The 26,869-nt window shown below is 38.8% G+C and overlaps 1 long non-coding RNA gene across 1 annotated transcript in view; it reads right to left on the bottom strand.

Moving 5' to 3' along the window:
* Positions 1 to 26,869, bottom strand: part of LOC105370733 (uncharacterized) — a 440,742-nt gene that overhangs the window by 208,306 nt on the left and 205,567 nt on the right. Inside the window, exons 1-2 of the long non-coding RNA XR_007064537.1 lie at positions 7,687 to 8,370; positions 5,833 to 5,942 (exon numbers count right to left, since the gene is read on the bottom strand). This is a non-coding gene — a long non-coding RNA (uncharacterized LOC105370733). Of the gene's footprint in view, positions 1 to 5,832; positions 5,943 to 7,686 lie in introns of the transcript that reaches the window.

The raw sequence follows: 26,869 nt of genomic DNA, 5'->3' as shown, positions 1-26,869 counted from the left end.
CTGAGGCCTTCCCAGAAGCAGAAGTCACTATGCTTCCTGTACAGCCTGCAGAACCATGAGCCAATTAAGCCTCTTTTCTATATAAATTACCCAGTCTCAGTATTTCTTTATACCAATGGGAGAACAGACTAATACAGTAGCCTTGGGTTAAACAATGGTTTCTAAGCTATGACACCTAAAGCAAATGAACATAATTTTAAAAAGACATAAAGAACTTCATCAGAAATCAAGTATTAAAATTAAAAAACAGACATATTGAACTCATTACAAAAAAGTATTGTGTGACTCAAAGTACATGGTTAAAAGTAAAAAGGCAACACCAAAGAATGAGAGAAAATCTTCAAAAATCTCATAGCTAATTAGGGTCTGTTATCCAGAATAGATAAAAAGTCTTACTTCTCGAAAATAAAAAGGCAAACATCTTAATCAAAAATGGCAAATAATTTGAAGAGTCATTTTTCCAAAAATGTTGTAGTTTTGTCCAATAAACACGAGAACATGCTCAATTCTTTTGTTATTCAAGAAATGCAAATCTAAACAACCATAAGATATACTTTACAAACCTAAACAGCATTTTGATAACTAAATAAAACGAGTTGGAAAAGGCAAAATACTATCTGATGCCATTTATATAACACTCTGAAAAAGAAAAAAGTACAGAGACAGTAAAGTATTCGGTGAGTATGAAGGGATTGGACCACAGAAAATTTGAATCAGTAAAGTACAAGAAATGTCTCTGGGGCTGTGAAATTGTTCTATACGACAACGTGACACTGAATATGTGACACTGTTATTCAAGACCTACAGAACTTCATAACACACAGATGGTAAAATAAAAACCTTATTTAGGCCAGGCGCCATGGCTCACACCTGTAATCCCAGCACTTCGGGAGGCTGAGGTGGAGGGGATCACTTGAAGACAGTTGTTTGACACCAGCCTGGCCAACATGGCAAAACCCTGCCTCTACTAAAAATACAAAACACAAAAATCAGGCATGCATGGTGGCACATGCCTATAATCCCAGCTACTTGGGAGGCTGAGGCAGGAGAAGTCCTTGAACCTGGGAGGCAGAGGTTGAGGTAAGCCAAGATCACACCACCGAACTCTAACCTGGGCAACAGAGCGAGACTGTATCCAACAAAAAAAAAAAAAAAAAAAAGCCTTATTTAGTTGATAGAGAGAGATTAACTAAATATTATAACTGTATAACAAATGTGTGAAATAAGCTCACTAGAGTGGGAAAAGGGGGCTAACCTAAGTAAATTAGGAAATAGAGGGAAATTCTGAGATTCTAAGTCAAAAGGACAAATAATTTGTATATAAGGACTTAGTTTTAGTTGGTAAAGTAGTTTCCCAGGGGTGTATAAATTACTACTTTTGAAAACACTATGCATGTTTTTTTGGATGATATCATTATGTTAATAAAGCCAACTAGTTCCATGTTAGAGGTGCAAGCTACATACAAGCGAGTTGGAACAGGTAGACAGCTTCATGTGGTACTGAATTAGATCATGTGCTGCCAGAAACATTACGTGGAACTCATGGTTAGTTTAATATAGATACCTATGCATACATGTTGAAGTATTTATACACTTGTATATATTTGTAAGTCAGTAAACACATGGGTATTCTTTTGCTCAGTCAGCTGACACGGCCTCAAGTCATCAGATGCCCTAGGGGCAATGAATATACCACAGTCTCTAGATCTTCATTTCTAATCCCATTTTCCATTCAAAGGAACTAGGGCATTGTGAAGAAACGGTGGATAAAATAGGGTTAGACAGCGAATAAACACAATCAGCCTGCAGCACCTAGTAGTGCCAGAAGAAAAGAAAATGCCAACCAACGATGCAACAAACCAAACAGCCACACAACACCAACAAACCATAATTATGGGGAGATTTCAAAATTATAGACGATCCAACTGAAAGAAAGTCCCAGCCGGGAGCGGTGGCTCACGCCTGTAATCCCAGCACTTTGGAAGACCAAGGCGAGCAGATCATGAGGTCAAGAGATCAAGACCATCCTGGATAACATGGTGAAACCTTGTCTCTACTAAAAATACAAAAAATTACCTGGGCATGGTGGCAAGCGCCTGTAGTCCTAGCTACTCAGGAGGCTGAGGCAGGAGACTGGTGTGAACCCAGGAAGCAGAGGTTGCACTGAGTCGAGATCGCGCCTGTGCACTCCAGACTGCGTGACAGAGCGAGACTTCATCTCAAAAAAAAAAAAAAAGGAAAAAAAAAGAAAAAGAAAGTTTCTTGGACAATACTGAAGCAATTTGAGCAATAAGCCAAATAAATTATTTCAAGTGAAGTGTAAAATAAGTACCCATATTTGTCTATGGGTAGAACAATGATGGAATAATATGGAACAATTGAAGAAGAATAGGCATTTGTTCATTGTGATTAATTCCAAATAATTTTTGCAGACACTCTGCCCCTAGGAAGTGGAACATAAGTCTTCACTTCTTATTTGTGTGTTGTGTGTAGTGACTTCTTTTTGAAACATACAACATGGAAAGGAGAAGAAAAAAACAGTAATTTCACAGTGCAGAAATTTGATTGGAACTATCTCATTCAGGTGATTAAATTAACATCAAAAGTGATAAAGCTGTTGCAGTCTGTACCCTTAACAGGATGTGATGAGAATGGCAATTTCCCTCTGTGGTCTTCCTCCCTGAAACCTACAATCCATTCTAATCATGAAAGAAACACCAAAGAAATCCCAAATTAGGAATGCCAATGTCATAGCAATCATGCAAACTTGGAGAAATTGTCACAGTCAAAGTCGATTAAGGAGCATGAATTGTAAATGTAATGAGGTATCCTGGATAGGATCCTGGAACAGAAACTCGACATTAAATGATGACTAAATCAATCTGAATAAAGCGCGGATGGTTAATAATAGTGTAATATTGGTTGGTTCATTGTGACTAATATCCCACACTAATGTAAGGGGGTTATTAAGGAACATGGTGTATGGAGTCTGTGGAAACTCTATATTATATTTGGAACTGCTCTGTAAATCTAAAACTATTCTTAAATTTCAAAAGTTTATTTTATTTTAAGCCTTTGCTGAGCTTATAAAACAGAAAGAACATTAACAATATTATTGATGTCCCCTGAATGTATCTCCTGAATTTCATCATCTATGTTAACAGCTGAAGGTAACTATTATTATGGATTATCTTTGTCAGTCTCTAATTTTCTGATATTCATTTTTCCTGTATGTTTGTATATATAAATATTATATTGTTTTGTCTCATCTTTAAATTTAAATAAATATAAATATTGAAAATATTGAATTTAATCCATATCCCTAGTCTAATTATGAGAAGACATCTGACAAATTCATACTGTGGGAAATTTTACAATAGAACTGACCAGTCCTTGTCAAAAGGGTCAAGGTAATAGAAAATAAGTGAAGACTGAAAAACTATCTCATATTGGAGAAGATCAGATGTGGTAGGTAGAACCTAAGATGGCACCCAACGACTCCCACCTCTAAGTATAAGTGAAGTTGATAAGTAACTTCATATTTTAATTCCTTCTAATGAATGTAGTCAGAAACTGTGAGTTGCTTAAAATCAACAGAATACTACAATGGTGATGGGACATTAGCAGGATGATTATATTATGTTAGATTGTGATTCTTGTCTTGCTAGCAAAGTCCCTCCCTTGATGGCTTTGATGGAACATTTGCCATATGGGAGAAGCCAACATGGGAGGAAACTAAATTCAGAAACAGGCCAAAGCAAGCAAAGAACTGAGGCCCTTGGTCCAAAACCCTTACCCAGAGTTTGCAATATTACATTTAAAATGAATCCAAGATACTTCTCAAAAAGTGTTTTTTGAAAAAACACTGTATCACTCACAGGTAGTGTGAATATCTTAGAATAACAAAATAATCTTAACTCTTTTGTTCTCCCTATTAGTGCTGTCATTCCTTTCACTTATACATGAGTACACATGCACATATACATGTATATTTATATACATATAACATATAGACATAAGCATGCCTAATCAAATAGATTGGTGCTACTATTATTTTCCAGAAACCATTATCTGTGAGACTAAATTAAGAATATGAAAAATGAAAGTTTTATTCCATAGGGCAACCATTAAAATAGTCAAAAAAAAGTTATATAATTGATATGCTAAGAATGGAGAGAAAACAGAATTGCATAAAATTCTCAATTAAAACCACAAAACACAGAAAATAAATGAAGTACAATAAAGGGAAGAAAGAACAAGGGCAACAAATCAAAAAGAGTAACACATATGGTTGATATTAATCCAACTCCATTGGTTGTCAGTAATCTAAAAGCATCAATCAAAGAACTGAGAATGTCAGTGTAGATCAATAAAGTCAACCCAACTAAATGATGTTAAGTAAAATCTATGAAATATAAAGACATGTATACATTTAAAGGAAATAGATGAAACAAAATAGCCTAGGCTAACACTTATCAAATAAAGGAAGAGTTGCTGCATGAATTACAGAGAAGTCCTCAAGCAAGGAAAGTCACTAAAAATAAACACGGGCATTACACAAAGATGAAGGGGTCAGTTCTCCAGTACAACGTAATAATCCTTAAAGCATTTAAGTGCCTAACAACAGAATGTCAAACTATGTAACGCCAAAACTCATATAACTGCAAACAGAAAGAGATTAACTCATTATTATAGTTGGAAACCTCAACAATCTCTGTCAGACAGTATTTGTCTGCAACTGTACAGTTACTGTCATCTATACACAAGGGTTACCTCAGCTCCATCCATCTAAGTGCCAGGCATTTTCAGGAATGGAGATGTGCCTTCGTATATTACCAGAGGCATCTCCTGCAGGGGCTCCACAACAGGGGCAGCACTGGTCTCATAGTGTCTTGGCCCTATGATAGCATGCATCTCCCAAAGGACTCGTGGAGAGGGCGCTACATTCTTGCAGGTATGCATGCCACTTTTGTATAATGGAGACTTGAGAAATAGCTGATATTGGCCTGGAAAACAACCCTTCTATCTAGCCCTTAATGGAGAGATCTGTTCTCATTGTTACTGGCAGATGATCAGTTACAGGCTCAATGTGCTGCATGGCCTTACATGCTCCCAGAACCTGTTGTTCAATTGGAGAACTGTGGGTTTCAGCACATTTCCATAGCTGTGACCAGAATCTTAGAAGAACTGCTTTCCCATGCTGAACGTGCCAGAGGACCTGTTTTGTCCCTTCAGGGTTTACAGTCATATCAAAAGACACTGGTATCCCAGAAGCGGGGAACTAGAGCTTGTGCCTGAGCAATCAATATTTTAGCCTTCTCAAATGCTACCACTTGTTCTTTAGTTCTTTATCCTAGATCTGTTTTTTTGCTTTGACACAGGGTTTCTAGTTCTTTTGCCCAAGTTGGAGTGCAGTGGCACGATCTCAGCTCACTAAATACTCCACCTCCCAGGTTCAAGCAACTCTCATGTCTCAGCCACACAAGTAACTGGGATTACAGGTACACATCACCATGCCTGGCTAATTTCTTGCATTTTTAGTAGAGATGAGGTTTCACCACGTTGCCCATGCTGGTCTCGAACTCCTGGCCTCAAGTGATCTGCCTGCCACGGTCTCCCAAAGTGCTGGGATTACAGGTGTGAGCTACTGTGCCCAGCTGAGATTGCTTCTTTAATAGTCAGTATGGGGATGCAAACATGGAGGTAAACATGGAATGAAAGCCCACTGGTATCCCAAAAGACCTAGGAAACTTTGTAACTGTTTAACTGTTTTAGGTATGGAAAACTGTTATATTTTCTCAATGACCAAGCCTGAAGTAAGGTGTGTCTTACTTGGCCAAGTGATCCATAGGAACTTTGCAGCTGGTTCCAGGCCTTGTACTTTTGTGAGTTGATGGCCCATCCTCTGGATTGAAGAACGGTGTCAATGCATATCCATGTTGCTGTAGCAATGACAAGTCTTCAGAAGTTAGAGTAACATCAATATAATGACTGCAAGTCAAGGTAAAAGGGATGCTAAAGAAGGCATTAGCTAAATCTAACACAGCATGATAAGTGCCTATGTTTTGTATTAATTGCTCAATCACTTGAGTTATATTACATAAAGGAGCATATATCTTAGAAAGATCAGTAGTGTCCACTCATCTACTGTCATATCCAAGTGCCATCAGATTTTCTTATTGGTCACACAGGATGGTTGAAAGGACTCTGGGCTGGCCAGATAATATTAACTTTGGCCAATTTCTCCACGGTGGCTGTGATTTCTTGTATTCTACCAGGAAGATGGTATTGTCTCACATTAACAATACATTGTGGGGGAGGGAGGTGTACACCTTCTAATTTTGCCTCCCATCTTAATATAGCCTTTGTCATAGGTGAGATTCCCCCACAGATGTTTGTAAAGTGCATCCTAAGAAGACATCCATACTCAAGATGTTTTCTGCAATACGTGAGATAAAGACAGGAGAGTAAGCAAAGGGGGAACTCCAGACAAAACTAAGGAGGAGAGGAGTTTGTTTCTCTCAGATTTTTAACCCCTCACAACCATCTATAGCTTCCCACTTACCAGGGTGTCTCTCTGGATTTCCATCAATTAAGACACATTCTGCACCTGTGCCCACTAAAGCTAAGGTTCTCTTAGTGCTGTTTAAGACTCCAATCAATAGTGAGCTCCAAATACGGCCTCTGGTCACCCCCTATTGCTCTTGCACAGAAGCAGCCTTGACCCTACCTATGATCTCCAGGCTGGAAAGAAGTCCACCCCTGAATTTTTACCAAAGGTTTCTTCCTGTCTTTCTCCCTCTTCTCATGGGGGGTGGGGGAGGTAATAAGAAGGTGTCTAAACTATTGATCAGGAGTCAGGTCTTTCCATACCCCACTAATATGCCACTGGGTTGCCCATCTATATTCTCTTTGTCAATCCCAGCTGAAATCAGATCATACCACATTTGTTTCCTAGTAACCTTAATTGTGCCTTTTTAAACTCATTTTTCCAGTCCAGCAGACTTTGTTTCTCCCTTTTTCCATTTTCCTTTAGCAACCAGTCAGACCTAATCTCTTCCCTTTTGAGTTTCTAGGAAATCTGAAATGGCTTTCCCTATATCTTGTCCCATAAAGGGGTTATTTCACTTCCGGGGGTACTTCTGTCTCAATTTTTCAGGTTCATTCCCTTTTAGGGAGATATCATCCCTACTGGTGTCCCATAGCTGCACCATTCATGTACATAAGGCTTTCTCTTGGCAGCTGTTTAAAAGTTTTTGTTATATCCAGTAATCCTACCCAGGCCTCTGTGTGTTGGAATTTTGCTTTCCACTGCATGAACAGTTTCACTCTCAAATGGGAAGGATAATAATCTTCCTCCTCTGAGTTAAACTCTATGTCATCATCTGGCTCACTGGTTGTTTGCCAAGAATTACAAGTATTTGCATCCCAGCCTCCACTGGCAAAGACAGTCCACACATTCAGCTAGCACATTTTTCTCTCTCTCAGCCACACAAAGTGGCAAGGTACAATTTCCAACTGTGCCTCTTGAGTTTCAAGTTTATCATAAAACCAGACATTAACACAGACATGGAAGTTCTCATCCCTTTCTCACTGCGATTCTTTTCCTAGCTTCCCTACCCTTGCCTCAGCTGCTACCTGTGCTTTTGTGACCACTCACATAGATAATAACAGCAGCAAACTTACTGTTGTCACTGTTTTCCCACCTTTTTCACCACAGTGAGTCATAGTTTTTAGTAACGTTTTACTAAAAAGCTTTAAACACACATAGTGGCCCACAGACATGTAGCATATGGGAACGCCACCCACATGGATGAGGAGGGTCGCTTGTAAAACTTCCTCCACAGATGCTTCTTTCCCCTTGTCCATACTTTGGTTTCCTGGCTGGCCATTTGCTCCATTAAAGGGCCGTATACACAAAGCAACTCTCAAATGCCAAAGGATCTGAAAAATTAAAGAAGAAGGCAGAAAATCCAGGAGGACTACCTGTCTCATAGCCTGTAATTTTTGTGGTAACACCCAGGTTGACATGATTTTACACTAAGGACAGTAAATAAATGAGAGATCAGAAGGCATTCATTGAACAGGGGCAAATCAGAAGTAACATGGTGGACTAGCATCCAAGATGGGTCATTTTGTCTCCACAGGTGTTCTATAACCTGCTTTTTTTTTCGAGGTACAGCTGGGAATATTAATGTAAGTGCAAGACATGCAAGGTTTTATCCTTCCCTGTCTTCAGTAGCACAGTGATGAAGAGAACAGTCTCTGCAGGGAAATGTCTAGTGTGAAATGAACTCTCCAAAATATAAGAACATGTAATATTTGACCACAGACAGAAGAATCAATAGGCTGGGCACGGTGGCTCACACCTGTAATCTCAGCACTTTGGGAGGCCAAGGCGTATGGTCAGGAGTTTGAGACCAGCCTGACCAACATGGTGAAACCCCATCTCTACTAAAAATAAAATAAAATAAAATAGCCAGGTGTGGGGACGTGTGCCTGTAGTCCCAGCCACTCAGGAGGCTGAGGGAGGAGAATTGCTTGAACCCTTGAGGCAGAGGTTGCAGTGAGCCGAGATCGCAACATTGCACTCCAGCCTGGGTGACAGAGCGAGACTGTGTCTCAAAAAATTAATAATAATAAAATAAAGAATCAATAAAAATAAAAAAAGAGTTGAAAATCTGATAGATGCCTATATAAACAAATAATCCAAAAGAAAAAGTAATGGAAAAAGGTGAATTTTCTTATTTTTTCTTTTTTTTTTTTTTGAGACGGAGTCTTACTCTGTCACCCAGACTGGAGTGCAGTGGGGCCATCTTGGCTGACTGCAAGCTCCGCCTCCCAGGTTCACGCCATTCTCCTGCCTCAGCCTCCCAAGTAGCTGGGACTACAGGTGCCCGCCACCACCCCTGGCTAATTTTTTGTATTTTTAGTAGAGATGAGGTTTCACCGTGTTAGCCAGGATGGTCTCGATCTCCTGACCTCATGATCCACCACCTCAGCCTCCCAAAGTGCCGGGATTACAGGCATGAGCCACCGTGCCAGGCTGGAAAAAGATGAATTTTCAATAAATATTTCAGTATACCTAATGTCCATCGGGAGAAATAAAATTTACTTTTAAACTCATGCACAAAATCAACTTCAGGTGGATTATAGACCTCCATAGAAAAAAGAATTCAATGGAGTATTTAGAATTTAATATAGGAAAATAATTTCATTACAATAGGGTAGGTGAGGAATTCTTAAAAAGCACCTACAAAGTGTTTATTCTAAGAGAGAAATGCTATTCTAACATAGTTGATGTGAGTAGGAACACTGGGTCAAACTCAAAGTTGTTCTAAGTCTTTTCCTATAGGGCTTTAGCTCAGATTCAGAGTTAGAACTTTCAGAAGGTCACAGTAGTGTCTACCTCTTGAGATGCTGTAACAACTTAATGCACTCATACACAAAATGTGTAGACTAATAGCAGCTTTGAAAGGAAAATAAAATCTCAGGACACTAAATCACTATGCCCAGTGGGAAAGTTAGGCTTGGGAACTGTGTCACACTAAAACTGACTTCCTTTTTTTCTCAAGTAGACAGCTGTAATTATACATGGTTACTTTATCTTATGCAAAATGTAGATCCAGCAAACACGAGATGAATTCATACTCAACTTTATCCCCCACTCCTCTATTTGCACATATCAAATGTGGTTTCAGTGAGTGCTAATCAAAGCCTCACGAGAATGCAAACGCTTGCCTCAGTGCCTAGCCCTCTTTGCTTTTTTCCCCCTTCCCCTACTGCTCACTTTTTCCCCTTTAAATGCTGAAGTCATCAAAACTTGCTTTGGAAAAAGCACAGATCACAGATCCTGCTGTAATTTGTGTTGCTTTTTCCCATGCACTTTCTCAACGTTGGCAAGATCTAGCTCTAAATTTACTGAGACCTGCCTCAGTCACTTTTCAGTTTATATTTTGGAAAGCACAATGAGTTCTGTGCAGAGTTTCGCCCTTTGGCCTGCAGCAACTCTCCTAGAAGGGCCCTGGTACAGCCAACTGGAAGCTTTGTATTGCTCTGACTGATTGGATGATTTGCTGAGGTCTGGGAGCCTCCCCCTACACAGATCCCTGATCTCCCAAACTTTTTGCTGGAGGTCTGAGGTATGTTCTCTTGTAGAACTCCCTCTCTGGGAGTTTGCTGCTTCTGAGGAGGCAGAGCGCAGTCTTCCACTTGGGCCAGCATCTCCAAGTAAGGAGCTGGCTGGGGGTTTTTAAATGGGATTTGGTGGCTTTGAGTCTAGCTTTCTTCTTAGCCAGTTACAAATTCTTAGGTTCAAAGATCTCAACTTACGTAAACTGTGCAATCACTTTTTCTTACTGTTTTGGTAAAAATCACTGTTTGTCTCCTCTACAAAGTTTTGACTGGAGATACATAAAAAAGATTTTAGAGATCTCATATTCTTAATAATCGATTAGAGAATCAAATTTTACAAATGACTTACAATAGCGTCATGACTATCCTTGAGAATTCTGGCTCTGTACATTAAAATCTATTAGCATTGCTTTAAATTCAGAAGACATACCCTTGATTAAAGTCCATGGTCAAATATTTAACTTTCTTTGGGTTCAGTGCACATACATGTGTTAGTGTGTGTTCCAAAATTGTACACCAAAACTCTGTGACCACAATTTTCCTGTATTACAAACCTGCAAATGTACCCCTGAGCCTAAAACAACACAATTGGTAAAATAAAATAGAAATATCTTCAGAATTTAATTTAGATATTTGGTCTGAACTGGTCAGGCAAGTCAGATACTGTTTTTGCTGGATGTTTTAGGGCCATAAACTGCTCTGTGATATTTTAAATAATTGTTTGATTTGTCTTTCTTACAGCCATAGTAAGTTCAGGGGACATATAGTGTTCTCCCTAGCCCAACTGTGCCCTCTGACTACACTGGGAAGGGTCAGACGTTATTGGCAGCTCTGTCTTTTGTCCCTGGCTCTGCACCTGATACACAAGTAAAATTTCTTACTTCCTAGAGTTTTTCAATGCAAGTAAGAGTTACTGAGAGGTAACATTACAATTAACATATATAATTGAATCTACTAGATACATCCAAAGTGCATAATAAAAGTGAGATGTGTTTTTAGAAAAAAAAAAATGCTATAGAAAGGTATGAGAAATGTGTTTTCCTTATAAAGGGAAAGTAATTTTGTCTACTGTAGAGGTTTTCAAGTTGTCTTTAAACTGAAGACAAACTGACAGATAAAGCTAAATGGATACAGAAAGTTGGGGCTTGGTGTGGTGGTTCATTCCTGTAATCCCAGCACTTTTGGAGGCCCAAATGGGAGGACTACATGAAGCCAGCAGTTTGTGACCAGCCTGGGCAACAAAGTGAGACACCATATCTACCAAAAAAAAAAAAAAAGAGCCAGGCACAGTAGTGTGTGCCTGTTGTCTCAGCTACTGAAGAGGCTAAGGTGGGAGGACTGCTTGAGGCTAGGAATTTGAAGCTGTAGTAAGCTATGATTGTGTCACTACATTCCAGCCCAGGTGATAGAGTGAGACCTTGTCTCAAAAGAAAGGTAAAGGAAGCTTGGAAGGAAATTTTTTTTTTTTGTTCTAAGGTAAAATCGTAGGACAAAACTGAAAGTTTGACGGAATTGTAGATTTGTAGCAGATTGATTTTACAAAAGAAATATTGTGTGTGACCAAGTGGGCTGAAATTTAAAGGGTATTATTCAGTCTTTCTATAAATTGAACATTAAAAAACACATTTATGCAAGCCCAGGATCTGGACATCATTTTTTCAGAGAATTTATCTGCTTCTCAGTAGAAAATAGTAAAAGGTTAACAAGCATTTCTTAAATCGTACCTTATGATTAAACTGATTGATATTTGATGAATTCATTTATAAAATTTTATTAAAATTGCTTTAGTATTAATACCATGCCATGCAAAGGTAAAGTTGGTTTTCTTTTTTGAACCAGGATCTTGTTTAATATTAAGAGAGACTAAAAGATTTTTGTTTGCCTTTTGGGCCAACTGCAAAAAAAGAGGAGGGGAGTAAGGTTCACTTGGTTTCATACTATATTTATTAGGTTTTACTGGTTTTTCATTTTTTCAGGGTATTTTTGTTTGTTTGTTTGAGACAGGGTCTCACTCTGTCACACAGGCTGGAGTGCAGTGGTGTGATCTCGGCTCACTGCAATCTCCACGTCATGGGTTCAAGTGATCCTCTTTCCTCAGACTCTGTAGTAGCTAGGACTACATGTACACACCAATACAACCAGAAAATTTACAAATTTATTTTCTGTAGAGACGAAGTCTCACTATATTGCCCAGGCTCGTCTTGAACTCCTGAGCTCAAATGATCTTCCCGTGTCGGCCTCCCAAAGCAATGGAATTACAGGCACAAGCCAGTGCACTCAGCCTGATATTAGACCTTATTGTTTAAGAAACTGTATCTCCTTTCTCTATATCAAAGAATAAAGATTTTTGCTTTTTAGAAATATTTAAAATATCATTTTTGACTTAATGAGTAATTCATTTAATCGTGATTGGTGATTCTATTTTGTAACACTGTTTCAATCCTTTGATATTTGACAAACTTTCCAAATCAAATTCTAATTTACCCTTAGTGACCTAATTAACTTTTTGAATATTAGGTCACCTGAAGTCCAACAGTGACAAATTAGCCACATTTAACATGTTAAAATCATACAGAAGCATGGTGAAATATTTAACTTTTGAGTTCTACTTACCCAAATATTAGCATGTGCTCCAAAATCATATGAGATGCCAATAATTCTGACATGCCTTACTATATGTTATCAGTAATAATTATATTATGTTAAATTGTTGTATGACACAGAAAAAAACAAATTTCTTATCAACTATGCCTGTAACTACAACCGTCCTAAGAGTTTTTCATTCACAATTGTTGTTTTACTTTGATTATTCTCAAAAAGTAGTTTATAAAAAACCAGTTGGCCAAAACTTGCTTCTTTAGAAGAGTTGGTGAAAATGACTCTGATAGGTTTTCTTGAATTTAGGTTTCTGATAACTTTGGAGATTGTGCCATTGTACGAATGAAAACAACAACAATACAAACAACAAAACTCCCAGGACTCTAATTAACAGGCTGATGTGTTCATGAGGATTGCTAAGCCAATATAAAGTAGAACAAGTTAATTATGTGGGACTGACGTAACAGAAGAACGAAACAAATTTTTAGGACTCTTTTATTTGAAACATTGATGACTATTTTTGTTTTTCAGAGTAAAGAAAGGTTTTTTCTTAGCTATTTATAGTTTTTAACAATTGAATATGGTACACTCTTTAGAGAAAAATTTCAAGTATACTTCTTTCTCTTTACCTGATTTCCCCAGAATTTGAAAACTATTTCTGAATATTCTTAATTTATGGTAATATAAGTTATTTGCATATGATCAATAACAATTTTTTTTTGTAATGGGACACAATTGGAGACACTGGTTACCTTGCCAAGGCTTTGGCTGGAATTGCATATTTTCATCAATGAGCAGATTGCTTTAAGAAATTTAGGTTGAATAACAGAACTAGTAAAATTCCCTTGGAGAGACTGGCCCTGTGCCTTCCGTATGCAGTTTCTTTACAGATTTTCTGATCTGTGGTAAGAAACGCATGTCACTTTCTGACAGGCCTAGGAACTCCAAGTAATCTTGCGACCTCAAGATGACAGTAATTCACCCAGTTCATACAGTTATTTGCAGGCACAATAAATGCTTGTTTGAGCTTGAGGGGCTATTTGAAAAGTCAAATAGTAGACACTTTGTTTAAAAAAAAGTTCCATCAATGCCAACTTAGAAGAGCCTATATGGAAAAAAAATAGTCTTGCTGCACTTTATGAAAATAATCAGGCCAAGTACAATAAAACTAAAACTTATTTTGGAAATAAATTGGTCTTACTATGATTTTTCTTTAGTAAAAACGGAAGACTGTAGAGAGAAAAAATGTATTTCAAATGAAACTATAGTACATCTTTTATTGGATTCTAGCCCTGTTCTTTGTCTTCCAGTTTTATTATTGGTTTACAATTTAGCTAGACTGGATCCTAAATTCTTTGCTGGTTACAAGTCTCCAAACTAACATTTTCAATGTCTTTTTTTTTTTCTTTCCCATTTTTTTCTGACTTGGAATTAGTAGAAAACTGTGCTTTTTGTAAAGCCCTGCACACTGAAACTAGAAAACTTAAACTTTGGGAGAAATAACAGCATCTTATTTATTTACATAAAACATTTCATGACTGTCTAGTTATATATGGACTGCTCTGTAATATAGTCCATCGGTTTTCAAGGATTGCTTTCTACTTTGTTGCTATAATCCAGCTGTGTCTCTTTTTCCTTCTTTTTTCCCTTTATTTCTTCTTCCCCCTATTTCTTCACAACCTTCTAGAATGAGTCTCCTTAAAAATGTGGATCCTAACCTTCTAGGAATAAACTATCCTAATGTTGAAAGATTAGGGAAAAAATATAACCAAACACTCATTTTCTTCTAAAATGCTTTCTCTGAAATATTTTGAAGAACAAGGAAAATAAAATCTTAGGATCCAAAACTCACTATGCCAAAGGAAAAGTCAGGAACTGAGTCATGCTAATACTACCTTCCTTTTGTTCCCAAAGAGACAGCTGTAATTTCACAAGTTTGCCTATCTTAGGTAAAATGTAGATCTACCACGCACAAGACAAATGCACAATCAACTTTTTCTCCATTCCTCTTTACACATGCAACATCTGGATGCAGTGAGTGCTAATCCAGGCCTCATAAGGATGTACTTCCCTCACTGTCTTTCCTCCCCTTTCTTTATCCTCCATCTACTCCTGCCTGGTCTCACCCCTATAAATATGGGAGTCAGCAAAACCCTCTTTGAAAAAAGCACAGGCCACAGAGCCTACTGTGACTTGTGTTTCTTTATCCTTAAACTTGGCAAAATAATTCTCTGAAATGAATGCCATCTGTGTGAGTCATTTTTGGTTTACATAGGTCTAACCTAAACACTAAGTTAGTATTTGCTACTGGTGACAGCTTTTTTCAAGTAATTGCAAGAAGTATCATATGTATAAATTGTAAAATACATCATTATTTTACATCACAATAAAAGCATAAAACTATTGAAAAACTATGACATCACAAAAATTTTATGTCATATATGTTGAAAATAATACTTTTTGTTTGAAATGCCTGCTCCCTGGTGCCATAAAGAAATAGCAGTTGAATATAAATTTAATTTCCTCAGCAATGCCATTTTTATATTTTCTTCAGAAAAGGTACACTCGCCAGCATTTTTGCCATGAGAGTACACTAAACAAAGGAGACAGGGTCATTTATAACCTGATGCTTCCACCCTACTGCTGTGTCCGGTTTCCACTGGCTGGAACAGGACCTCACATTCTGTATTTGTCCCGACTGGCTAGCAACTTAGAACTTTTTAAAAGAGGCAAAGGCAGAGGAGAACAAAGGAAGGAGGAAGTAACTTTTGGAATCTGGAGAAAGGTAAAAACACCTTGAAATAAGGAAGAGGAACAGGCTATGACCTAATGCTTGCTTGGACCAGTATAAGCATGCCAGGGCAAATATTTAGGTTAAATTGTGGGAGCTAAGGACATAAAGTACATTCATTTCTTTATTACGGCTAGCAGATATTTAAGAATGTTAACACAGGTCTTTGAAAAAATTTTGCTTCTAAGAGAGGTTACTATTTATTCCTAATGAGATTGGGAGGAAAGTCTTTGAAGAGGAACCTCTATTTTACTTTTTACACTTTTGAACTTATATAAATGTGTGTATTGATGTCATATCACTCCTATGATCACATGAGACAGAAAGTGAAAGCAAAATAGGTAATCAAGGTTTTCTAAAATTTCTCATATTTGGATAAAACTCTTCTAAATCACTGTGCAACTCACCTTGTCCATGGATTTTTTCTACACTAGCATCATCTCTGGTAATTAGGAGTTTTGCTGATGCCATATTTGTAGTGAGAGAACTATAAGAGTTTCTGATAGATTATGTTTCTCATCTACTAACGTCCCTCTCCAAGTCATGATATTAAAGATACCACCAGAATGTGAAAATGGAAGTTTTTTACATCAAGTTCACTTGTGTGCACACAAAGTCCATCACATTATGACTGTCTTCTAACCAATAGCCTTTTAACAATATTATGATTGATCTCTATTTGAAAGATGTAAAAAATATGCCTTTTAAAATAAATGGAACACACTATTTTTTCTCTGTGACTGCCCCCTCTCAGTATAAAATTTTGTCGGCTCATCATATGTATTCTGGTCTATTATTGCGAAAACATGCTTATCTATAGTTTCAAATTAGTTGAACAACTTATTTACCTGCTACCTCAGGATTAGAGAGAGAGTTATTATTGGGCTACTAGAATTCCTATTTTAAATGTTGCTATGAATTGTTTTAATTTTATATAACCTGGGTATTCATTTTGTACATAGTTTTGACATTCTCATACCAGAAATAGGGTTTAGAAATCCGTGACAGTTTCCAGTTTGTGGCCTCCTCCACATTCCTCAAGGTGGTCATTGAACATAGACCCTTATAAAACCTGCTCAAGGTGACTACTCCATATAAGACAGATGAATACCACCTTTATCTCACCTCACTGTCCCCTGTGGGAACTGCACAGATATTCGGCAGTAACCACCTCTCAGTCAAACTCTGACTCTGGGAAATCATGGTTGCTTCACCTTAACCCAGCAATTTGAACTCCTCATGAGAAACCTGCTTGGGTAACACTCCAAAACCCAATGTGATGTTTACTTTTAGGAGTCAACTAACTGTATTAAGGAACACCTAGAACACTGGCAAAGCTTTACTTCTGGGTCTGTGAGGTTTCACCAGAAAGGTCTGAAATGTGAGTCGGTAGACAGAGTGGGTAAGATCCTGTGATGGAACAGGGACCCTTTGTTAGGGGCCTGTAGCTTCCCCAAACAGGGAAATAAAGGAAAATCGTGAGTCCCTTCAAGGGAAATCCCTGGTACCTAGCTAGCACTGAGAAAGAAATGAGGAACTTGATAAGCAAGAAGGTAATAGTAGCCTAAACAACAGCCAAGGTAGTTACAGTCAGAAGATGTTTGCTTTGTTCTAAAGATCGCATCTTAACATACATTCCTGAGTCATTTTTCATAAACCTAGACCCCCACCAAAGGCATCTGCTGACAAGTACACCTCAGATAAGGGGGGCCTGAAAACTGAATTCTGACTGCCATTCTTTGTGCTAAATTTCTTCCTGAGGGGCTAGAGGGAGGCAAATCCATTAGCCAAAGAGCTAACATTTTTTTCTGCCAACCCCCAAATTTTAAAACAACTCTTCTTTTCTTTAACCAATTACAAATCAGAAAACCCTTGAATCTATGTATGGGCTGTAAGCCCCTGCTTCAAAATATCACGACTTTTCAGGACAAAACCAATGTGTAACCTCCACTACTGATTTATAATTTTGCCAGTAACTTCTGCTTTCCTGAAATTTACCCCTGCTTTAAAAAAACCCTTACCTGCAAGCCACTGGGGAAGGCGGAACTTAAGCATTAGCTGACTCATCCGCCTTGCTTCACAATGTCCAGATAAACACCTCCTTTTCTCCCACTGCAAATGTCAGTGTAGATGTCTAGTCTTACTGCACTGGGTGAGCAGACCTGAGTTGAATTCTTTAACAATCCACCCTCTATGTGGGTAGGCACCACCCAGTGGGCTAGGGGTCCTGATAGAATGAAAAAGTAATGAGAATGATTTTGCTCTCCCTCTCTCCTGGAGCTGGTACACTCTCTGCCTCCTGCCCTTGGACATCTTAACTACAGACTCTCTTCCTTGGGACTCCAGAACTTACTTCTGCATCCCTCCACATTCTCAGGCCTTTGGCCTCAGACTGAGAATTACACTGTCAGCTTTCCTCATTCTCATACTTTCAGCCTTGGAATGAGCCATGCTACTGGTACTCCATGGTTTATAGCTTACAGAAGACCTGTCTTGGCTTCCATAATCATGTGACCCAATTTATCTAATTAATGCCCCCCCCATCTATCTATATATGTATCCTATTGGTCCTGTATCTCTGAAGAATGCTAAAACAGGTTTTATTTTTTAAACCATGAATGATTGTAGAGAACCAGAATTTTAGGAATGAGTTTCTTTCATTGGTTTTGGGGTTTCTAAACTTAGATCTCTAAACTGATGATACCTAAAAATGCTAAAGACTCCATTTCTAATAGTCCAGAAAACATTGCTAGTCCATGTCATAAACTGCTTAAGGGATATGCAAACATCTACCTCTGACACTCCTAATCAACACTGATAAAAGACAAGGAACTTGGTGACTCTGACAGCACATCTTTAAATATCTGTGGAAAATCAAGGATTCTGCTTCTAGCGTTGATGAGTAAAGTGATCAATAAAAAAGATAAGAGAGATTCAAATTTCAGAATTCGGCTTCACATAAAAAGCCTTAGAGCTTCTTACAGTGCTCTGAGTGAGAATTATATCTCCTATAGTCACAGGGCTGAAAATGCTAAAAGTCAAACACAAACCTTCACCGTGCAGTTGGCTGAGTTACTATGAAAGTTGAACTTTCAGCCTAGCAAGGTACCTACTGTAAATTTACAGCACTGTACAGAGAAGAATGGAACTCTGTAGAGTGGGTTGGGAACATTTGGGGAGACCATGTTGAGGCTGGAGACATTGAGCTCTGAAATTCCGATGTCTTCTTTGCCAGCAGACCTGACCCCCTACTGACACCCTCTTGGCAGTAGCCTCTTCACCCACACTGGTAAAGGTGGTTCCACCTCCTCTGAGGGGATTACGCCAGCATTGCCTGAGGGAAAGGTAATGGACTGCAATGCAGATTCTCCTAAGGCCCCACACCCACCACTCCTTTTTGCTTCTAGGCCTATAAGTAGACTCAAATCTCAAAATGCCCTTAAAAATGATATACAAAGTTTGGCCCATGGGAGGTTCATGACAGTTCAAGAAAACTATTTGACTTTATAATTTATACAAGGAGAAATCTGGAGAACATGTGTGGAAAAGGGTATTAAGAGTTAGGATAATAGTGGAGGAAACAAAGTTGGATCACCCAGATTTATTGATATGGACTCATTAAAAAAGATACTGGTTTTAGTTTTGCAGCATGGGAAATTAGAAAGGGCCCTAACAGTTTGGTTGGTTGGCTGAACTATAAATCAAAAGATGGCCCTTATTTAGCCAGTTGGATATGCCTGATCTCCCTTGGCCTCATGTAGAGGAAGAGATTCAAAGGCTTAGAACGAATGGAACTCCAGAGTGCATTTGTCATTTGAAATCTACTCACCCACACTGGGAGGCTCCAGAAGACCAACCTTTCAGCAATACTTTAAGAAACTGATTTCTAAGGGGAGACCAGCATCCTTGAATAACTTTCTCTGTAGGTGGAAGCTTATACTGAGAACCACAGTCACTCAATAGAACATTTAAATGCATTGGGAATAACTGGATCTCACAGGTCCCAGAGCCATGTGGCAGCTGTCAACCTTCAGAGTCAAGATGGACATAGTTACCAAAATGGGCAGCAAAGGTACAGCAACATTCAGATGCATCTGACTCAAGTAGATCTATGGTGTTGGCTAGTTTGACTGTGGTGTTCTCAGAAGTAAAATAGAAAAGAAGCCTAATAAACCCTTAATTGATCTGAAAATACTGAAAACATTTATGTTTACCAAAGTCTAACTCAAATCAAAATACTAGAGAATCACAGCTCCTACTAAAGTCCAAGACTAGAGCCAGTTTATAGTCAAGAAATCCTTGAAAAAAGGAGCAGCCAGGTCCCCTTGATGAAGGACCCAGGTATACCACAAAAACTTTATACTGTTCATCTTTCTCCTGTCCTTCCCAAAAGGGAACCTATAACCTTTTAACAGCTGTGTTTTGGGGAAAGGAATATAGTAAGAACTTTTCAGGACTAGTAGACACTGGCTCTGACCTTACATTGATTCCAGAAGACTCAACCCAACTCAAAACATCACTATAGAATGCCAGTCAGAGTGGGGATTTATGGAGGTCAGGTGATTAAATTTTAGTCACATGAAATCACCATGGGTCCAGTGGCCCCAAACACATACTCTGGTCATTTCTCTAGTTGTAGATGCAAAGCTTTAATAGACCTAGTTAGCACCTGGCACATTTCCCACATTGGTTCCCTGACCTGTGGAGTGGGCGCTAGTATGGTGGGAATATCTAAATGGAAGGCACTAGAGCTGCCTCTACCTAGGAAAATAGAAAATCAAATTCATAACCACACCTCTGGAGTGACTGTAGAGATTACCACCACCATCAAGGACTGGAAGGATGCAGGGGTGGAGATTCCAACACATCCCTGTCTAATTTGGCCTGTGCAAAAGACAGATGGATCCTGGAGAGTGACAGTGGATTCCCACAAGCTAAACCAAGTGTTCCTTGTAATTGCAACTGCTGTATCAGATGTGGTTTTATTGCTTGAGCAAATTAACACATTCCCTGATACCTGGTATGCACCTATTGATCTAATGAAGCTTTTTCTCTATTTCTCTTCATAAGGCCCACCAGAAGTCATTTAATTTCAGTGTCAATAACTTCTCTGTCCTACCTCAACATAATATCAACTCTCCATAACTAAGTCACAGTTTGCAGGAAGTTGATCACCTTCTCCTTCCACAAGATACTACACTGGTCCATGGCATTGATAACATTATGCAGATTTAAATTAGTGGATGTGCAGTAACAAGTACTCTGGACACTTATAAGGTATTTTCATTTCAGATAGTGGGAAATTCTCTAACTAGACCTCTTTTACCAAAAGCAAAAAGCAAACAAACAAAAAAAAGGTATTAATGTCCCTATGCCAGAATAAGGGACTACAAGAAAACATGTAAATTGACTTCCACAAGGATAAAAGCCAGAGAAGCCAAGCAAATATTTCCTGAGTTAGACTCTCCCCATGAAGCCATGAAGAGCCTTGTGACACCTGGTCTCCCCTGAGACCCAAAGCCTCTTTGACACCAGCAGTCTCTGTAATTGGCACACTGGCTCCCTAGCAGTAATCCCCCTGGAAAGTCTTCTTAAAAAGCAGAGGATATCCAGGATGGTTTGAAAATTCTCAAGGCAACTATTTTTTCAAAAATCCATAGCTATCCAGGTAGTTAAGGATGCCCATGAGAGCTCACATTATGGTAGATAACCCTGTACAGTTGGCTCCTTCAAATGATGACCACTCCCAACCTTGGAGACAGTGCAGCAAGTGACCCACAGTTGCTCTCTCTGCCACACTAACAGTCCCCATAACAGATCACCCACAAGGCCTCATGTTAAGGAGTACAATTTAGGGGAATTTAGCCTGGCAAGGACTGGCAAACACACTTTACGGTCATGCTCCAGACCCCCGGGAACTTTAGATACCTTCTAGGTGTGGTTGTTATCTTCCCACGATGGATAAAGGTGATCAACTCGCTCTGATACCACCTCGGAGGTATCATGCCATCTCTTAAAGGATATTTTCCTAGGTTTGGGCTGCCTAAAACCATGTAGTGGACAAGTTTTTTTTTTGTTTTTTTTTTTTGAGATGGAGTCTCACCCTGTTGCCCAGGCTGGAGCGCAATGGCGTGATCTCAGCTCTCTGCAACCTCTCCCTCCCGGGTTCAACCAATTCTCCTGCCTCAGCCTCCAGAGTAGCTGGGATTACAGGTGCCCACCACCACGCCTGGCTGTTTTTTTGTATTTTTTAGTGGAGATGGAGTTTCACCATGTTGGCCAGGCTGGTCTAAAACCCCTGACCTTATGATCTGCCTGCCTTGGTCTCCCAAAGTGCTAGCATGAGCCAGCTTTGGCCTCCCAAAGTATAGGCATGAGCCACCGTGCCCGGCCAGTGGGAGAGGTTTTATAACTTAAATTACTCAAAAGGTAGCCCAAGGCCTAGAAATTCCCTGAAAACTCCACACAGCAAGGAGACCCCAGTCCTCAGAAGCAGAAAAAGCCACTTAAAGCTTAAAGAGAACGTTGGCTAAACTGTGCTGGGAAACAGAGGAAAACTGACTCACTCTCTTACCATAGCTCTTCTGGACTCTAATCATCCGGTGGATGTGATCATACATTCTCTGACAGTAGTCAGCCTCTTTTCCCAGGCACCTATGTCATCAATCACCGGGCTTATGAATAAAGTGGCCACAGTGGTAGGGACTGAGGTTTTGCATACACACAGCAATCTGGAATTCCTTTCACCATGGCCAACCAGGTTACAGACCCCTCTGAGTGTTCCAACTGTCAGCAGCAGAAACTAACACTGAGCCCCTATATGGCACCATTCCCCAGGAAGATCTGCCAATTTCCTTGTGGTAGGTTGATTAACTGGGCAGCTTTCATCAGGGAAGGGGCAGCATTTTGTTCTTCCTGGAACAGTAAGAGAGTTACTCCATCTATAAATTTTACTTCCTTGCATGCAAGTATTCTGTGGAAACTACCATCCATGGACTTAATGCCTATCTACCATCATGGTATTCCACACAGCATTGCTTCTGAACAAGGAACTCACTTCACAGACAAAGAAGGGCAGAAACGAGTTCATGCTCAGAAACTTCAGTGAATTCACCATGTTCCCTATAATCCTGAAGCAACTCACTTGAAACAATGGTGGAATGACCTTTGGGAGTCACAGTTCCAGCACCTGCTAGATGACAATACTGTGTAACTGTGGGGCAAGGTTCTCTAGAAGGCTGTATATGCTCTGAACCAGCATGCATTATATGGCGCCATTTCCCCCGAAGCAGTGTGGTCACAAACACTTCATCAATCTCCAAGGACTCCCAAATATTTCCTGTCTTCTAAACCCTCACAAGAATATAGGCTTTTACTAGTCTCCCTCTCCAAGATTCTTTTAGCCTCTGCCCATCACCCAATTTGAAAGACACTTTCATATTTTCAGGTATTCATTTTCAGCAACAACCTACTTGTCATTACCAGTTTTCTGTATTAGTCCCTTCTTTGTTGCTTAAAACAGAATACAAATTATTGGGTAATTTATAAGGAAAATAAATGTATTTCTTACACTTAAGGCATAAATGATGGCTTGGCAGCCTCCACAAATTTTGAAGTATTTTTTTTTGACAGCCTGGGAGCCCAGAGAGAGAGTTGTCACAGGGCCAGATCCACTGCAGAGAGCCCCCAGTAGAAGGATGCCAAACACAAATGTGGGGTTGGAGCTGCTGCAAAGAGTCCCCACCAGGGCAATGCCAAGTGAAGCCACAGCAGTGAAGTCACTACAGAGAGCTCCACATGGGTAATGCCTAGTGGTGCCAATACCAGGATCCCAGGATTGTGAAGTCCCCTGTGGCATTCAAAGCCTGCCTGGGAAAATTTCAACCAGTACAAGCACCCACGGGTGATTCACCAAGTAAAACCTTAGGGGTGACACTGACTAGGGCTTGCCACTCCAACCCTTATCTCAGTGTGTTAAGGGGTAAAACTAAAAAGGCTTTCCAGCATTAAGACGTAATGTTTGCCCTCCTGGACTTCAAATTTACTTAGGGGCTGTTACTGTTTTCTTTGTGTCTATTTCTCTCTTATAGAATGGGAATGTGTACATTATGTTTATCCTGAAATCACCTTTGAAAAAATTCTAACAGTGAGAAAATTATGACTGTAAAAGAGAGATGACCTGACTGAATCCATCTTGCCTTTAATCTCCAAGCTTCCCTTGTTTGTTCCTGGACAAAGGGAACATTAATATTATAGCCTATCTTTCAAACAAAGATGACAGCCCTTCCTTGAAACAAATCCCTTAATTGCTTGGAGACCAGACCACCTTTGTAAAACCAACAAATTAACCACAAGATTAGAAAATATGGTTCAAGAGCCATACAGCCAGAGGCCATAACATTACTAACATCCTCAATTGCTCCTAGAGACAGCATTCATACTGTGAACCTAAGGGGCCTAGGATCCCTATAAGCCCACTGTTTGGGCTGGCCCTGCAGACTTGTCAGTTAACAAAATTTGCTACACCTCCCTGAAACAAAAAAGTTGAAGTTTCCCTCTTATCTTGTTTTATGTCCTTGAAAACTTGACTTCGTAACCATGTGAGGGTGCTGTCCCTTGTTCTCCCACATACAGAGGGTTGGAATTTCTGGATTCAGGTCAGGCAGCCAGTCTGAAAGGATACATGATAATGTCACAGCTAGCTTTAAGGATTCTCTTGAGCAGTTACAATCCTTGAAGCTTGGAGCTGACTGACCTACATTATTTCTGACCAACAGCAACTGCCCCATGCTGTAGCTCAGTAACTAAGGTTTTTCCCTTTTACTGCAGCAGCCTGGGTTTGATTCTCACCTCAAACAGTAAGCCCTTTCTAGTGTGATATTTGGAGACTGTTTGCCATTCATTCGATGATTTTCTTCTCCATGGACATCTTCTCACTTTCTGTCTTAAATTTTCCTTTCTAAGCTATCTTTGGGGAAATTCTCAATCTTGCAAAAACTGCTTGCCATCTCTGTGAGACACCTCATGCATCCATGGTTAAGTCATAACCTTAGTTAGACTTATAAGTTTCCCATGGGCAGTTACCTTTGGAAAAGTTTAAAGCCAAAAATACTACCTATTTGTCTTGGCTAAAATCTATTAATAAAAGATTTCAGCAGATTTTCTTTTGAGAACTCTGTAATCAAAAATCAACTTGATTAAGGCTGATATTGAGCTACATGTGTACAGATACTATTTTAAAGCCTTTGCTCTCCCTCTGTAAAAGTTTCTCATTCAGTGGAATTCTTTCTGATCCTCCATTTACTCCTGTCTGTTCCTCCTTCCTCTTGTATCTAACCTTTTTGACTTGCAGGGACCTGAAATTACTTTGCATTATGAAAAAAAATTAACCTTGATGTGTAATTGCTAGATAAAAAATATACTTTTTAAAATGACTAATGGTAGTCACTTATAGTAAGTGATTATTACTACAGGGTGATACTCTTTTATTTGTACATTTAAATAAGAAGGATGTGCTCTTATGGGCCGATTACAGAGTGGGCTGATGGGCGCTGGGTTTTCCAGCAGCCTTGAGGAAATGTCCTTACAATGAAACACACTGTGGAAGCATTGCACTGTGTCATGCCATATTGTTTGCCTCTTTAGGGGACCCAGGATTTGGTATAAAAATAAGATTCATCATTTAGGGGAATCTGTTTTGACTTCCACCTCTGCCTGATTACTAGGACCTAGAAACTGCATGCTTTCCTGGTTCTGTTCCTTAAAAGGTTCCACCCCAAAGGCAATAATCCCATTTAAAAACTTAACAACTTTAAGAAAATCTCCACATGTAAGAGTGTCTGCTTTTCCTGGCCATCCTGACTGAACTTTTACCCCCACATTTTTCCTTGCTTTAGATAAAATATAAATTCTCTATAATTATTTCACCTAAGAATTATCCCTTTAAAATAAAAGTGTGGAACTGCCTGGTTAAAAACTTTTTAGGGCAGGGAACAGGTAATCAAGAGACTGATGATCTAAAATGAAAAAGAAAAACTTAAAAAACTGACAAATGAAGAATCCATATAACTCTACCAGATCTGCTTCTCTATGTCTGTGTATTTATATACTTCATATATGTAATATTTTGCTAACAAACTATATAAAAGAGCTCTAATTAATTGGCATATATATATATGCACTTAAATAAAATATTTTACCAGAAAAAATTTAACTAAAATGCTTTTTGTTCACACTACTCTAATAATCTTTGAATAATAAAGATAGCTTTAAAGATTATTGGTACAATAAAATTATTTCTTCAACATTTAGACATTTGGTCTAAATTAGGCAGGTCAGATATTCTCTTTGCTGTTTTAAGGTTATAAATATCTATGACTTTTTGTAAGTGTCCAACCTGCCTGCATAAGAGCCAGCAGCTTCTAGGTAAAGCCTGGGGACATGTTGAGTTAGCCACGCCCCTGAGCTATGTTGGAAAGAATCATACATTATCTTCATTTTTGTCCCGTGTCCTAGGCTCTGCACTTGATACGAAATTAAAATTGCTTTCACTAAAAATAAAAGTTGTGAAGATTTAACATTGTAACACATGTGATTGACACTGCTGAGAAAAGACTGACATTCAAGGTATATAAAAATTATAAAATGTGCTTTTGTAAAAAGTTATAAAAAAGACCTAAGATATTGTCTTTGTTTAGAAAAGTAATCTCGTCTAAATTAGAGGTTTTAAAAATTGTCTTAAGTTAAAAAATAATAGGAGAAAACAGAAGGTTTAAGCAGGTTATAAAAGGTTTGTAAAAGATTGGTCTAGTAAAGAAAGTTCTGTGTGTGAGTGTGAGCAACTTGCCAAAACTTGAAGCAGGTTACTTAGTTTTTCTACAGAATGATCATTAATGTAAAAATCACAGTGATACAGGCCCAGAATCTGCCCCCTTAGGTATGATCAACAGAGTTTTCATGGAGCATTAATCAGTTGTTTAGTAGAAAATTGTAAACAGTATGCTCAAACTGATTTAGATTGGACAGATCTGTTTATAAGGTTTTATGTAAAAATTGGGTTTGACATTAATAAAACACTAAGGCAAAGGTAAAATTTGGTTTCTCTTTAAACAAGATTTTTGTATAATACTGAGGGATAATAAAATATTTTTATTTGTCTTTTAAATAAACTGAAAAATGTAGGGGAGAGAGAAGACACAGATTCAGATGGCCTCATGCGGTCGTTGCTTGGTCCTGTTGTTTGGGAGCTGAGTCTCCTCTCTACCAATGAATAAAGGCATTTGCCTTTTTAAATTTTTGAGCTATCATTTTGGCTAAACAAATGATTTGTGGTTATCTGGGATTCTA

The sequence above is a fragment of the Homo sapiens genome, chromosome 15, assembly GCF_000001405.40.
Source record: "Homo sapiens chromosome 15, GRCh38.p14 Primary Assembly".
Taxonomy (NCBI): domain Eukaryota; kingdom Metazoa; phylum Chordata; class Mammalia; order Primates; family Hominidae; genus Homo; species Homo sapiens.
This window is presented reverse-complemented; position numbering and strand designations above follow the sequence as displayed.